General features: G+C 44.6%; 1 protein-coding gene across 14 annotated transcripts in view, besides 5 other annotated features; it reads left to right on the forward strand.

Moving 5' to 3' along the window:
• Nucleotides 1-15,393, forward strand: part of PALM2AKAP2 (PALM2 and AKAP2 fusion) — a 531,726-nt gene that overhangs the window by 264,653 nt on the left and 251,680 nt on the right. The gene's annotated exons all lie outside the window — the stretch shown is intronic.
• Nucleotides 1,605-1,684: an enhancer, noted in NCBI's record as "active region_28767". NCBI's record gives its function as "activates an Ori minimal core promoter by ATAC-STARR-seq in GM12878 lymphoblastoid cells {active_cell/tissue: GM12878}" and the evidence as "EXISTENCE:reporter gene assay evidence [ECO:0000049][PMID:35858748]".
• Nucleotides 1,765-1,834: an enhancer, noted in NCBI's record as "active region_28768". NCBI's record gives its function as "activates an Ori minimal core promoter by ATAC-STARR-seq in GM12878 lymphoblastoid cells {active_cell/tissue: GM12878}" and the evidence as "EXISTENCE:reporter gene assay evidence [ECO:0000049][PMID:35858748]".
• Nucleotides 13,080-13,129: an enhancer, noted in NCBI's record as "active region_28769". NCBI's record gives its function as "activates an Ori minimal core promoter by ATAC-STARR-seq in GM12878 lymphoblastoid cells {active_cell/tissue: GM12878}" and the evidence as "EXISTENCE:reporter gene assay evidence [ECO:0000049][PMID:35858748]".
• Nucleotides 13,370-13,539: an enhancer, noted in NCBI's record as "active region_28770". NCBI's record gives its function as "activates an Ori minimal core promoter by ATAC-STARR-seq in GM12878 lymphoblastoid cells {active_cell/tissue: GM12878}" and the evidence as "EXISTENCE:reporter gene assay evidence [ECO:0000049][PMID:35858748]".
• Nucleotides 13,650-13,719: an enhancer, noted in NCBI's record as "active region_28771". NCBI's record gives its function as "activates an Ori minimal core promoter by ATAC-STARR-seq in GM12878 lymphoblastoid cells {active_cell/tissue: GM12878}" and the evidence as "EXISTENCE:reporter gene assay evidence [ECO:0000049][PMID:35858748]".

The following is a 15,393-nucleotide window of genomic DNA, read 5'->3' on the forward strand; positions in this document are numbered from 1 at the left end:
AAAATGTCTCTATTTTATCTAAGACAGGAAAAAGGCAGAGAGATGCCAGAGAGAATGCAACGACTGTGCCCGTGAGAAACCAACAGTGCAGGGTGGCGATCTACCCGCAGCACATGCAGGATGCAGCGTTAGATGCTGACTCAGTTTCTCAGCCATACAGGAGAAAAGTTTCAGCATTTCTCAAACTCCATGACCATCCTTCAGTCGGCTACCCCAAGCCCCGTTTTGCTGCAGCCGGGTGAGGGCAGTAATGCAGCTCAGTAGGTTAAGGGGCCAGGCTGTCCTTGGACTTCAGATGATATCAGTTCAGTCCCTGGGACATCTTAAATTAGGGCCTCAAGCTTCAAATTCATGCCTTGGCCAACACGTTACCATAAATGATCACAGGGAGAAGAAACAGTCAGGCCAGGGATGGTGGCAGGTTCCTGTAATCCCAGCATTTTGGGAGGCTGAGGTGGGAGGATCACTTGAGGCCAGGAGTTCAAGACCAGCCTGGGAAACATAGCGAAACCCTGTCTCTACTAAAAATAAATAAACAAATAAACTTTTTTACAAAAAAGAGAAGAAATGGTCAGTTTACGTTGCATTTCCTTCTTTTCCTCAAGAAGAGGTGCCCCGTGGTGCCTGGGACAGCTGGGCCATCACATGGAAGTGGCTGAGAGGTGGGCTGGAAAGAAGAGGAAAATCCAGGGCTCCCACCAACCCCAGCCAATCTCTAGTCACTGGGCAACCTCAATCTACTTCTGGTCATAGTTTTACAATTTTGCGGGGGTAGGGGGGATGGAATCTTGCTCTGTCACCCAGGCTGGAGTGCAGTGGTGCAATCTCGGCTCACTGCAACCTCCAACTCCTGGGTTCAAGCAATTCTCCTGCCTCAGCCTCCCCAGTAGCTGGGATTATAGGCCTGTGCCACCATGCCTGGCTAATTTTTGTATTTTCCGTAGAGACGGGGTTTCATCATGTTGGCCAGGCTGGTCTTGAACTCCTGACTTCAAGCGATCCACCTGCCTCAGCCTCCCAAAGTGCTGAGATTACAGGCATGAGCCACTGTGCCCAGCAATAGTTTTACACTTTAATATTGCCAACTTTTTTTCAGCCCAGCCTGTGCAGCCACACAAATGCAAAAAGGTTAGCTTAGGAAGTTGTCAACATCATTATACTATAAAAATCAATAAATGGAACCTTCTTGCTTCCCACAGTAGTCCATGCTAAGCTTGGCTTCACCATCCCTTGCTTGGACAACTCCTAATTGTTCTTTATGGTTTCACTCTGTAACCCTTTCATACATCCAAATCCGTTCTTTTCACATCTGTCCACATGGTCTTTCTAGAACATAGCCAATCCTATCACTGACTTAAAGCAAACACATAAACAGGCAGACAGACAAACAAGAAACTCAAATGGCTTTCTGTTACTTTCCGAATCAGACTCATTAGTGTGGCATTCAAGAGCCATCATATCCTGAGCCTGATCCTCCCTGTCACTTTCTTTCCCTCATGAGTGCACTCAGATAGGCCAGTCCTACAGAGGTCCTCATTCACTCACTTGAGCCTGCCTTGCACATTTCTGCATCAAAGCCCCTTTGTCCATGTTATCATCCTAGCTTGAAATGCTGTCTGAACACCTCTATGCCTTGATCATTTTTCTCTTCAAGATCCTACTGACATGTTCCAACCTCCTGAAATCCTGCCCTGCCTCCCCACAAGCAGAGTTACTCAGACTCTCTTCTTTGCATTCCTGCAGCATTTTGGTCTTGCAATTTGAGCTCTACTGTGCACTGCATTGTAACTATTCATATAGCTTCCTCCCTCATGAGATGATGAATTTCTCAAAAGTAGAGACTGGGCAGCTGTTACTGAATATAGCCCAACACTTGCTTGATAATGCTCGATAAACATGAATGAGTGACCCAGAACATTTCAAACTTCCCTTCCAAGACCTGAAAGACTCATATTTCTGGGTGTTTTAAGCTCTGTGATTTCTGCTCTGGTCACCTGGGCCAGGAACTGCCTGCCTCTATTTTCATTTCAGGCCTTTCTCTCTCTGCCAGATGCCTTGATCTCTGAGCCGAGTATACCTTGACCCAAAGCCATGATGCAGCCCTCAGCTTCTGAGAGGAAGGGGTAGGGTTCAGTAGTTGCGCCTCTGAGAACATGACAGAGAACAATAGCAGGAAGCAGCCAAGCGGGAAACAATCAGCCCGGCACAACCCATGTGGAGGAGCTTCCTGATTGGCTTGATCTGGTGGGAGCAGGAACTCTTACAATAACTCTGGAATTATCCCAGTGGGATGACAAATTTCTCCACTGAGGAGAAGCTGTCACCTGGTAATGTCAAGCACGGAAAACACAGTTAGCAAAAAACAAAACAAAACCCAAGACAAAGTTCTCTTGAGGAAGAGCAGTTTGGATCAGTTGGAAGCCTCCCAGCCACTGCCATAGCACCCCATGCCGACCTCCTTCCTAGTCTCTGTTTCAGGTACAATTAAGTCGTCATCTCTACCTTCCGGATAGATATCATTCTGCCGTCCATGGCTCAAAGGTCAGAGGTGCTGTTTATTCTTTGGTGTCCTTTTGGGTAGTTTAGGGAAATCCATGCTGTAGGTGACCACAAGAGAGAATGTTCCCTTTTAGAACTATATTGATTGAGCACAGGCTGTGTGCAAATACTCTTCTAGGCACTGTGGATGCCATAGCAATACATGCTGTTTCTGCTTTCATAGAGCAGTGATTTCCAAATCCTGTGTATCCTATGGAAAGACCAAGCCAGGCAAGGGGTGGAGTGACAGGAGCTCCCAGTCAGCTTTCTCCTTAAACCACAGCAGCTCCCTTTGATCAAGATGTTGGAAAAGAAAAATCTACCCCAAAAAGAGGAAATGCTGAAAACATTTGGATTGGGAGTGGTTTCATTTGCTCTTAGGCAGGACACACTGCAGGGTAGCAGTTAATATTCTAGGCTCTAGCTACAAGCAGACCTGGGTTTGAATCCCAGCTCTGCCACTTACTGGTGGAAGGTCATAAGTTGCTTGAACTCTCTCAACCTCAAGTTCTTCATCTGTCAAGTGCGAATAACAGTAGTAGATATTTTACCAAGTGCAAAGAATTGAATAATGCTTACAAACCATTTAGCATATCATCTGGCATTGTCTATTACAGTAAATGCTCAGTAAATGTGAACTATTTTACCCCTGTTGTTTGACGTTAATTTTTTTTCAATGAATGACTCATTGAGATACTAACTCATGCGTCTTGAAAACACTACCAGTCTCTCCAGAGTAACCTCCAATATGGACAACAGGCAAAAATATGGTGATTATTCCCAGTTTGGGCATTTGTGAAAGATGTGGCTGAGGCTGTATGGATGCGTGTGCACACACACACACACACACACACACACACAGAGGCCGATGGGAAAATCTAACTCAGCAGGAAAGCTATCACAGAGCGCTGGATTTAGGCACAATGAGTAAACAGGGATTTGGAAGAGAGGAATGCACCACATAAACAATTTTCACAATCTGGTATGAAAGCCCAGATGCTTCCTGCATGAAGGGGTGAACTCAGAGAGCGTCACAGGGCAAAATGAAGTAAATGCTGAGACTGTCCATCATTCTGGCCCAATTCCTACATATCTGTGCATCTTCTACTTATGGTTTTATTTAGGTGAGAATAAATAAGAGTACCTCATAGTAGATAAGAATAGTACATTACACACGCGCGCACGCACACACACACACACACACCTGGGGTTAGATGAAATTGTATATTTGGGGAACTTGGGGTAAAGAGTACAGAGCCACACAGCAGTTACCTTCTGCATCCTCCTGCTTCAGAGAAAGCAAATAAGACCAGTTTCTTTTTAATCTGTTGTTTTTACTAAGTCCAGGATTGATGTTAATTTGAATTTGTTCTTTTAAGATTCATTTTTGACTGAAAGAACTGAGCCGGAAGGTCTGCTTGAGGCTACTTCCAGTTGAGAAACAATTTATGTGTTCATTGAGACAGTCATTTACTCAACCAACACTTACTGAGAACTTTCAATGAGGCAGGTTCCTTGCTAGATACAGGCCAGCTAGATGCTAGAAGCCATCATCAAAGGAAGATGAAAAAGTGATGGTAATTATCCTCTAGAGGTTTGTAAACTGGAGTTAGGGAAGGGAGCCCAAAATCCATGAATGAGTGATTAAAATACAGTGGGATAAAGTTGGTGGTAGAAATATGTCCATGAGATATGGCAGCAAAGAAGAAGAGCACCTTCATGGGAAAAGTCCAAAGAAGACTTCCATAAAGAGATGATACCTGAGCAGATGCTTTAAAAATGAGTAGTAATTACCCATGGGAAGGGGAAGAGAGAGAACAAGGGCAATCCAGGCAGAGGGGTGGTATGAGCAAAGTCATTGAGCCAAACAAGGAAATCTTCATTTCTGCAGGTAAATGAGAGGCTGGGAGTGTGTCATATCCATGAGCTTTAGCAGAGAGCCCATGAGGGGTTTTCAGCAGGGGAGTGCTATTGTGGTGTGTCTAGGCACATTCTGGATTTTAGGGTGATGGGGCTGCATAGAAGCAGAGAGATTGGTTAGAAGGTTGTTGCAGGCATTTAGGAGAGAGCCTATACTAGGGCTGAAGAGAAGCAGCTATGAAAAGAGATTTGTGGGGCAAATTGGCTTGGTGGCTAATAAGACACTTAGTTGACCTGGTGACTAATAAGATACATGTACGTGATGATAGTAAGCGAGGGTCAAGCCAGAGGTGAAGACAACATCTAGGTTTCCCTCCTAAGTAGAATGGATTAACGGTGGTACCAGCATCTGAGCTAGAGAATAGGGAGGAGCAGCTCTATGGAGAAAGATGAGTTTGGTCCTGTATATGTTGTGTATGTGGACCATCCGGGTGGAGACATTCAAAATACAATTGTACATAAAGGCTGGAGTTCAGGAGAGATGCTGAAGATATAGTTTGGATAGATTTAAGCATGTTCGGTAGGAATTAAAGCATGAGGCTGGACATGAGTAGCCAAGAATTAAATGTTAATCAATAAGAACAATAAAACAAATAAACCTTTAGTGGTAGAGTAGGAGAAGAGGTGCCCATATGGAGAACATGGCGTCATGGTCTCTTCATCATGGAGGAAGAGTGATCAAATATGTTTTTAAAAACGAAGAAGTCAAACAGATCCACACCAAAGAGGGTCCGCTGGACGTGGCAGTCATGGACTTGACTAGGAGCAGACGCAGCAGGGCATGAGGGCAGAGGGACTGAGGCTGAGGCATGGACTTGACTAAAAGCAGATGCAGCAGGGCGGTGAGGGCAGAGGGACTGAGGCTGAGGCATGGACTTGACTAGGAGCAGACGCAGCAGGGCGGTGAGTGCAGAGGGACTGAGGCTGAGGAGGGGTCAGGATGTGAGGATGTTGAGGCAGTAAGAGATGACTGGCCTTGGGGAAGTCTGGAAGAGGGATTCAGCAGCAACTAGAACAGGATGCAGGGTCAAGAGAAGTTCACTTATTTTTAGTATGGAAAGAGATAATTCTTGTTTATTGACTAGCAGGAAGGAGGCATCTTGGAGAGAGGTGAAGACACAGGGGAGAGGGGATAGTTAATGGGGTATCCTCCCAGATCAGTCTGCACAAGCTCAGGTGCAGGGGTGGAGGCGCTGGCCTTCAACAGACAGTCTGAGTCAGAGGCTGGAGGTCAGAAGGTGTGGCTGGATGGGACTTTTTCTCTTCCTAGAAAAAAGGGACATTTTTAGGGGGAAAAGGAGGGGGTTTAAGCTATTGAGAAAAGTACTGCTTTGAAATGAAATAATCTCACTTTCCTGTAATCAAAACTCTTTATTTCTGATGAAACAGACTCAAATAAGAATCACAACAAAGAAATCAGTGCTCAGCTCAAGCCTGGAAATGATTTCCTACACGGAAATCCACTTGCACAGATTCTGATAGTGTGAGTCATGTGATTCCAGATGGAGTAAATACACATGAAAAGGAGAGAAAAGCTGGTGTCTCCATGGGCTGAAGCACACTTATGGAGAGAGAAATTTTCATTTATTTGTATTTGGGCTTCAATATGATTACATCACCATCAATAATGAAAAGTGCTGCCATGTCCCAGCTGTATACTTAGATCAAGATATAAATCAGTCCAATATTGTTCTTTTTTCTCACTGAATATCTAAATTTGTATATTTGAGGGGAAAGTAGAAAAACCAAGCCAAGATTTTAAAAATTACATTTACTATCACCATCTCCAAGTTACATTCACTATAGAATCCTTTAGAAGCATGTTCTTGGGTAGCTTTGCTTTTTATGCACTCAACAAATATTTATTGAGCATCTGTATGTACAGGGAAGAATGTGAGGTACAGTAACACAAAATATATAGTCCTATCTCTTAATAAGCCTGCACTTGGGAGAAGGTATAGATAGGGTTGGGAAGGATAAATATATTTTTAACACTCTAATACAAGGCAGAGTGTACCAAAAGTTAGAAATGCTGTGGAGAATCAGAATGAATGAACATACCAGGCTGGGTTGGGGGGCTGGGGGAATTATGGAAAACATTCCTAAAGAGATGTAATTTGATTTGGGCTTTTATTATGATATCTGTTTTCAGACAATGGAGTTGAGAGTGGGGAGTCCTTCCTGGCTTTGTCAGGAGCAGTTTGAGGTCTTGGCTGAAGACAGGAAGGCATAAGGCTGGAAAGGGGTGGGAGCAGAACATGGAGGGTGTGAACTTCCAGCCGAAGAAGTTTGATGGGGTTTGGGAAGGAGGTGAGAGGGAGCCACCAGGAAAGGATGTGAGCTGGACCTTTGGAATTCTTAAAGGGACCCTTGTCTTCTCTGCCATATTTCTGTCTCAGGGATGACGTGAGGAAAAAAAAAAAAGAGGAGGAAATGGGCTTGAGTTTCCACTGACACCTTACAGTCAAGGAAGGCCCTGTTCTTTCATAAGGAAAAGTGGAAATCCTCTGTTTACTTAAGGGCCATTAACATGTTTTCATATTAAAATACCAAATGATCTGCCGTGACTCCAGATAGACTCATCTAAATAAAAGGAAGCTGTTTCCTTACAAATTGAGTCACAAAGGATAAATATTTGTGGAGTGCCATAGAAACAAATGCGCTGTCTTCCTGAAATGTGGAAAATGAATTTTGTAGCATTGATTTGCATGAAAACAATATTCTTCCCAGTGTTCTACCTAGAATATTGAAATGGAGGTATTAAGATAGATGATAGATAGGACAGATAGATTGCTAGAGAGCTAGATTAGATAGATAGATAGATAGACAGACAGACAGACAGATAAGATAGATAGATCGATGAGGTTAAATATTCTTAGGATGGAAGAAGGGGTCAGATAATCACATCTCAGACAGATCTGGAATTCCAGGCAGCAGGAACTAATGAAGTGGTCTCTTCAGAGTTTTACCATGGGACGAATTCACCCCCGATTAGTTTTTATTCTTTGAGTCACTTCTCTCAAGACAAAGATCTTTGGGCAAGAGTTCAGTTGGCCTAGCTTAGATATGTTTCTACTCCTTGGCCAGGGATGTGAGCCTTCTGACCAATAGTTTCACCAAATCTACAAGGAACCCTAGAGAGACTTTTTTCCCAGTGGAGGAGCTGGATGTTGTTCCTAAAAGAAAAGGGCAGAGGGACCCTGGGCAGGCAAAATTTTCAGCTGCCTGCCACCTTAGCCCCTGTCCCCACACTCACTTCTGAACCACATGTGATCAGTCTTCTCTTCCCACCACATAACTGAAACTTCAAGGTCATGGGTGAGCTCTATGTTGTTAAGTCTTATTTATAGGAGCGATCAGCTCGCTGCACTGCAAGGCTGGAAAGGTGTTTAAAATGTATACTTAGGCATGTCTTGGCTCTTTCTGATATAATTCAGCTGGCAAAGGCTCTGGCAGGAAGCCAGACGGACACAAATAGCGCACCAAAGAGATGCTAAGACATGGGTGATTATAATTGTGCAAGGAGTAGAAACTTCTCTGCTGAGACTTTGGATGTGGCAGAGATTTGGGGAGTAGAAGGGGGGCAAAGCACAGTTCCAGCCAACCCCATTTACAGGCGTTGATTAGCAGTAATGAATTCACAACCTTGCAATTGCTCATTTTTTTTTCTTCTGCTGCTGAGTCATGGATAAGACTCTAAGCTCTGATTAGCTGTGATCCCTAATTCTCAGCACAATTCTAAGAGCATTCCTTCAAATTCAACAATATGTGGTAAGTGTCTTGTATTAATTAGGATTCCATGTGGATGCAAGGAACAGAGACCCACAATAACAGTGGCTTAAACAAGATGCTTATTTCTTTTTTTTTTTTTTTTTTTGAGACGGAGTCTGGCTCTGTTGCCCAGGCTGGAGTGCAGTGGCGCAATCTCGGCTCACTGCAAGCTCCGCCTCCTGGGTTCATGCCATTCTCCTGCCTCAGCCTCCCGAGTTGCTGGGACTACAGGCGCCCGCCACTACGCCCAGCTAATTTTTTGTATTTTTAGTAGAGATGGGGTTTCACCATGTTAGCCAGGATGGTCTTGATCTCCTGACCTCGTGATCCACCCACCTCGGCCTCCCAAAATGCTGGGATTACAGGCGTGAACCACCGCGCCCGGCCAAGATGCTTATTTCTCCCTTCAATAAAAATCCACAGGTCTGCAGTTATGTAAACATCCACAGGCATGCAGTTAAGAGCTGTTTGGTGGCTGTGCCCTGTGAATTCCTTAGGGACCCAGACCTGTTCCACTTTAACCCTAAAGACTGATCCTTGTCAACAGTGACCAAGATGGCAGTTTGTGCCTCAGCTGCATACATGTGCATTTCAGGCAAAGGATGAAGAAAGAACTGGAGAAGAAAGGGCTAAAGAAGATTCTAGGAGCTGACATATAGCACTTTCACTTACATGCCTTTGGCCAGAGCATGTGGCTACAAAGGATGCTGAGAGATGTGGCCTTTACTCTGTGTGGCCATATGCCCAGCTCAGCCACAGGAATGACATTGCTTTGAGAGAAGGGGAGGATGGAAATTGAGCAACTTAGCAGTCCCCTTTCCACTTTTACTTGTGCTGAATTCATAAACATGTGGGCAGCTTTCCTCTCCTCTGAGCAGCAAACACTTCTTCTGAGGTTCTTGTTTTGGCAGGTTGGCCAGACAGGCACCCCACTTGACTGCTCAACTATGAAACTGCAGTTCCAGAGAAGAGAACAGGTCTGAATTAAGCACCTTAAGCCAGTTGGTCAGCATCTCCTTTTATTCGGAGAGTAGTTACTGAGATTCAAACCCATGTCAACTGAGTAGCAATGTGTTTGGCTATAGGGTAGGGCGTAACCCTAGTCTATGTCTCTCAATAGTGAGTTATTTCATAAAGGCTCAGCCCATCGTCAGGAATATGCTGGTCTTGCGTAAGCCTTTTTCAGAAGTGTTCATAGGGTCCTGAGAATTTTGTGAGCACTTCTTTACTGCTTCTCTTGCCTCCTCTTTTAGTTGGTGCTGAGTTCACTGCATGAAGGGTCCCAGGAGTCCTCTTTCCCCTTGGTTTTTCTACTCCTTTCCTTTTCTGCTCTTTCTACCACCTCCTACTGCTGGACCTCTTTGTATCTGTACTCCACCATGGAAAATAAGTTTTGTTTGCCCCAGATCTTCCCATTTCCCAGAGTGGAGCCTTTATAATTCATGATGTTTACTAAACTTGATCTCTGCCCTTTCAAGGGATGGAACTCAGATAATGAAAGATATAGGGAGGGATACATTGCTTAAATCTGTGAGTGGGCATTACGATGGGCCTAAGTGTCCCAAGAGGGATTGGCTTGCCATGGGAGGTGGTGAGCTCCCCATGTGTGGAGAAGTTCAAGAAGGTGTGAAATAATCGTTGGGTGGAGGACAGTTCAAGGACTTCATGTTTCTGGAGAGCAATTAAGTTCAATGGCTTCTACTCCCAGTCTGACCTGTGCTTCTGTGAGCTTGAAAAATATATATTGTGTTGCAATGTGCATTCTTTAGGGAATGAAGGTAAAAGGGCAAGTGGTCATGGGAGGATGTCAAGGATAGGGGCAAAGGGTACTGGTTCCCCAGCCAGACCACCAGGGTCCAAATTCTGGCTGCACATCATCTCTGCAACCCTGGACAAGTCAGTGCTCTTTCTGTGTATCCATCCATCTGTGTCATGGGAGTTGCAGATTTTTTTACTTCATGGGATATTGTGAAGATTAAGTATTATAATGTACGTAAAACACTCATAACAGTTCCAAGCACACAGTAAGCACTCAATAATCCTAATCCTTATGATTATTATTGTTACATATATTACTGTATCTAGCAAAAACAATATTAGAATTGTTAGTATTATAATAATTATTATCATCATTGATGGGGAAGGAAAAATGAAGCCCACCTGAGTTCACAGACAAGACCCTCTCCAAACAGTAAAACAATTAAAAACCAAGTTGTATTTGTCTGTGCTCCTTTGGATTCAACTGACCAACACCCAGGCAAAGGGAAAATATATTGGCTTGCTTTTTTTTTTTGAGATGGAATCTTGCACTGTCGCCCAGGCTAGAGTGAAATGGCATGATCTCGGCTCACTGCAACCTCTGCCTCCCAGGTTCAAGCGATTCTCCTGCCTCAGCCTCCCATGTAGCTGGGATTATAGGCACCTGCCACCATGCCCAGCTAATTTTTGTATTTTTAGTAGAGACGGAGTTTCACCACATTGGACAGGCTGGTCTGAAACTCCTGACCTCAAGTGATCCACCCACCTTGGCCTCCCAATGTATTGGCTTTTGTAAGTAAGAAGGGCAAAGGAGTAGCTGAGGATCTGGGAAGCAGGAACTGGAGATTGAATGGCACGGGTCCCCAGCAGCCAGCATGCTCTGTCTTCCCTTCTCTTTGTTTGGGCCTTGCAGGAAGGTAGGCTCTCAGCAGAGCCTTGAAGGCCAGGTATTTGAGAGCCAGGCAAGTGAAGCAGAAGGAGAGCATGAGTGAGCCATTGGGAGTGGGGACGGAAACGGCGAGAACCTATCCAAGGCACCGTGCTGAGCTATGAAGCTGGAGGGCAGCGCAGGCTGTGACCCAAAAAGGCCACACAAGGCCACATGCTCCTGAGTGACAGGAGGGACATGTGATATGCTGGGCCTTGGCCCATGCTGTCTCCTCTGCCTGGCTCATTTTCTCCTCTTTTCTACCTGGTGAATGCATCCTTCAAGGCCCAGTTAATTCATCATCTACTTTGTCGAGTTTTTCTCACCACCTGTATCAGTTGAGAATTGCATTCAGCTATGATCACAACAGAGGCTTAAGCCCATAACAAGCAATCTGGAGCCAGGCATTCCAGAAGTGGTGTACTCTTTCCATCGTGCCCTCTGGGACCCAGGCAATGTCTCTCTTTCTGCACACTCAGACATACTATTGCCCCTGTGGACATAGGATTACTGCTCTGCCTATAGCATCATATCCCTTGCAGTAGGTAGAATAATGGACCCCCAGAGATGTCCACAGGCTAAGCCTCAGAACCTGTGAATATGGTAGGTTCCATGGCAAAGAGGAATTAAAATTACAGATGGAATTAGAGTTTCCAAACAGCTGACTTTAAAATAGGGAGATCAGTATCCTGGATTATCTGGGTACACTTTGTATAACCACAAGATCCTTAAATGTGGAAGAGGGAGGCAGAAATCAGAAGGAGGGGTGGCTGCAGGGAAGGTCAGAGAGATGCAACAGTGCTGGTTTTGAAGATGGAGGAAGGGACCCACAAGGCACGGAACGTGGGTGACCTCAGGGAGCTGAAAAGGGCAAGGAAATGGATTCTCCCCTAGAGCCTGCAGAAGGGAACACAACGCTGCCAGCACCTTGATTCTAGCCTGGCAAACCCCGTGTCAGACTTCTGACATACAGAAATATAAGATAATAAATGTAGATTGTTGTAAGCCACTAAGTTTGTTGTAGTTGTTATAGCAGGAATTGGAAACGAATGCGTCTCTTTAGCACCAGGTCCCTGTACCTGGCAGGAAGGAAGGAAAGGCAAATGTCACTTAAGCCAACGCTCCTTTCCTTTTTTTTTTTTTTTTTTTTTTGAGACAGGGTCTCACTCTGTCACCCAGACTGGAGTACAGTGTTGTGATCATCACTCACTGCAGTCTTGAACTCCTGGGCTCAAGTGATCTTCCCACCTTAGCCTCCAGAGTAGCTAGAACTAAGGGTATATGTCACCATGCCCAGCTAACTTTTTATTATTTGTAGAGGTGGGGGTCTTGTCTTGCCACGTTGCTCAGGCTGGTCTCATCCTCCTGGGCTCAAGCAATCCTCCAGCCTCAGTCTCCCAAAGTGCTGGGATTACAGGCATGAGCCACCGCACCCAGCCCTCCTTTCCCTTTTAGGGAGTTGTGTGGAAGTCCCTTCGGATCATTTTTACTTACATCTCATTGGCCAGAGCTGTCCCATGGCCAGCTTTATCTTCAGTGGAAGCTAGGATACATAATTTTTTTCAGGTGGGCATGTTGCCATCCCCAACCAAATAAGGATTCTGTTAGTTTGGAAGAGGGGGAGAATAGATATTGAGAAGACCACTCAGCGTCCCCACCACACACTCCCAGGCAGAACCAACTATTCTACAGCATGTTGTTCTTTCCTCTATTATTGCTATTTTTGGTTTGTATTGTAATTTATGTGTTCACATGGCTGTTTGCATTACTTGACCAAGAAGTCTCATGAGCAGACACTGTGTCTGATTTATTTCTCCATCCCCAGTGCTCAGCATAGTGCCTGATACAGAGAAGGTGTTTGCATGAAGTTAGATGGATGAATGTCTAAATAAACTTTGAAATAAGAGCATGATCGATGCACTTCCCAGAGCGAGAGTTCCTTTCTGTTTTCTTGTGAGGATGATCTATTGGGGTTAGGTACATTTTATAAGACCATTTGGCCATGATTGCAACCTCATCTCCAGTAAATTAAACCTACACAGCTGCAGTGTGTCACCTTTCCTTATGGCTTATTACAGTTTGCTTTTTGCTCAGAAGGAACTGAGCAAGCAGGTTAGAGGCTGTTATGTGCACCTGCCACAGCCTACGGATCCTCAATTAACCTTGCGTGTAAATTACACTTCCTGCCCATTCTTTATTTTTAGCACAGCAACATCTACTTGGCTCTTCCAGAGAAGACTGCATTAGATTTCAGTCATGAAACTACAAAACAGTGGCGTCTGCAGCCTGGCTGGGATGACTGTTGTTAACCCCATGACACTCTGTTCCTTGCGAAGCTGCTTTGCCCCAGGACTCAGGTTTTCCTGAGAAAGAGAGCAGCCTGGACTGACCACACCCTCAGAGCCTGGCCCAAGGCCACATGTGAACTTATAGAAAAATCTGCTATTGGATCTGACATAAACTCTCCATTTCCTTCATTCATTGCATTTGGGTTGAAACTCAGTTGTTGTTATCACAAAGGTTTCATTTCGTTCCTTTTTTTTCTCTCCCTCTCTCTTCGTTCCTTCTCAGTTACACAGTATCATGACCCAAATCTTTAGCACCTGAACCATATAGCGCAGAGCCTTGAAACCCATAGGGCCAGGGCACCCCGTGGAGACAGGCCAGCCAGTGGGCATCAGGTCGCAGAGAATTCTTAACCACTTAAGGTTGCTTCACTGGAAGAAGTGAGTTACTGAGAGACAGCCATTTTCGGTTTTAGTCAGCCATTTTTATCACGATCTTGTTTGTTTTAGAATCCCCTGTAGTGCCTAGCTCGGAGTCCAACCAAACAAGCTCCATAAATGTTGATTTTGAATTTAAATAGATGTTGGGGTGCTCCCATTTCCCCTTCACTAGACACATGGGAAGCTGAGGCCCTGGCCCCTCTTTCATGCCACAGCCTGGGAGATGCTGCCTTCTCAGCAGAAAGCCTCAGGAGGTATTTTGAAAAGGGAATTTGTTGTTTTCATTCTGGTTAGATAAGTTACAAACTAATTTTTTAAACTGGGAAAATATTGAAAATTGTTTTTTAAAAATGAAATCACCTTTAATTCCATTACTCAGAGACAACTATCACTGACATTTTTCTGTTTTTTCAGTCTTAATTCTCATGAAGGTGTGCCCTGTTTCCCTCCAGATTTCTCAGAGGATTCAGGATTAGGGAAGGGAGGAGAGGGTGCCTTATGTTCTTTCTAATCGTTTAGCTTTGGGTATTATTGGGATATATATAAATACATTAACACACATATAAATATATGTGTATATATATTATATAACTGGCATATACATTATTGGGATATATATTAGTAGGATGTATATATATATATGTGTGTATACATATGTGTGTGTGTGTGTGTGTGTGTGTGTGTGTATATATGTAAAATGTATACACACTTCTATTTGACCTGTACCAGTTCATTATTACCACAATAATGCTAACTAACACGCCCTCAAATTCAGTGGCTTAAACCCAAAGTCATTTATTCTTGCCCACACTTCTGTGAGTAGGCTGGGTATTTGCTGATCTAGGCTGGGCTTAGCTGAGTGGCTCTAATTTCAGGTGCTTCTGAACTATATAGCTGAGAGCCCTGAAACCCATAGGGCCAGGGCACACTGTGCCTATCTATGGGTTTGCCTCAGGTCTATTCCATGTGTGTTCTTTCTGTGGTCCAGGCTGAAGGGGCAGCAGCTGCCCAGATAAGTTATTGTCTTGGCATTGGAAGGGGTGCAAGAGGACAAGCTCAACTGGGCAAGCACTTTTCAAGCCTCTGCTTGTGTCTTATCTGCTCACATCCTATTGGCTAAAGCAGGTCACATGGCTGCGGCCAGTGCCAAGGGACTGGGAAGTGTAACCCATCTACCATAAGCCTAGAGCAAATCACATGGTCAAGATTGACATCAGTGGCTTGGGGAAGCATGTACTCTTCCCATGGAAGTAAGGGAGGAAGGAAGGGAATATTTTTGAGAATAATGTAATCTTTTTTTTTTTTTTTTGAGATGGAGTCACACTCTGTTGCCCAGGCTGAAGTGCAGTGGTGCAATCTGGGCTCGCTGCAGCCTTGCAGCCTCTGTCTCCTGGGTTCAAGCGGTTCTCCTGCCTCAGCCTCTAGAGTAGTTGGGATTACAGGTGTGCACCACCATGCCCAGCTAATTTTTGTATTTTTAGTAGAGACGGGCTTTCACCATGTTGATCAGGCCAGTCCCAAACTCCTAACCTCAGGTATACGCCTGCCTCGGCCTCCCAAAGTGCTGAGATTACAGGCATGAGTCATCGCAACCGGCCCAAGAATAATATAATCTACTGCACACCCTAAATATCTGCTAAAGTACTCTGTACTTTGAGATTTAAATCAAATCTGCTCAGGCCAGGTGTGGTGGCTCATGCCTGTAATCACACCTCAAATAAATAAATAAATAAATAAATAAAACCTGCTCAG

Source organism: Homo sapiens, chromosome 9 (assembly GCF_000001405.40).
Source record: "Homo sapiens chromosome 9, GRCh38.p14 Primary Assembly".
In the NCBI taxonomy this organism is placed as follows: domain Eukaryota; kingdom Metazoa; phylum Chordata; class Mammalia; order Primates; family Hominidae; genus Homo; species Homo sapiens.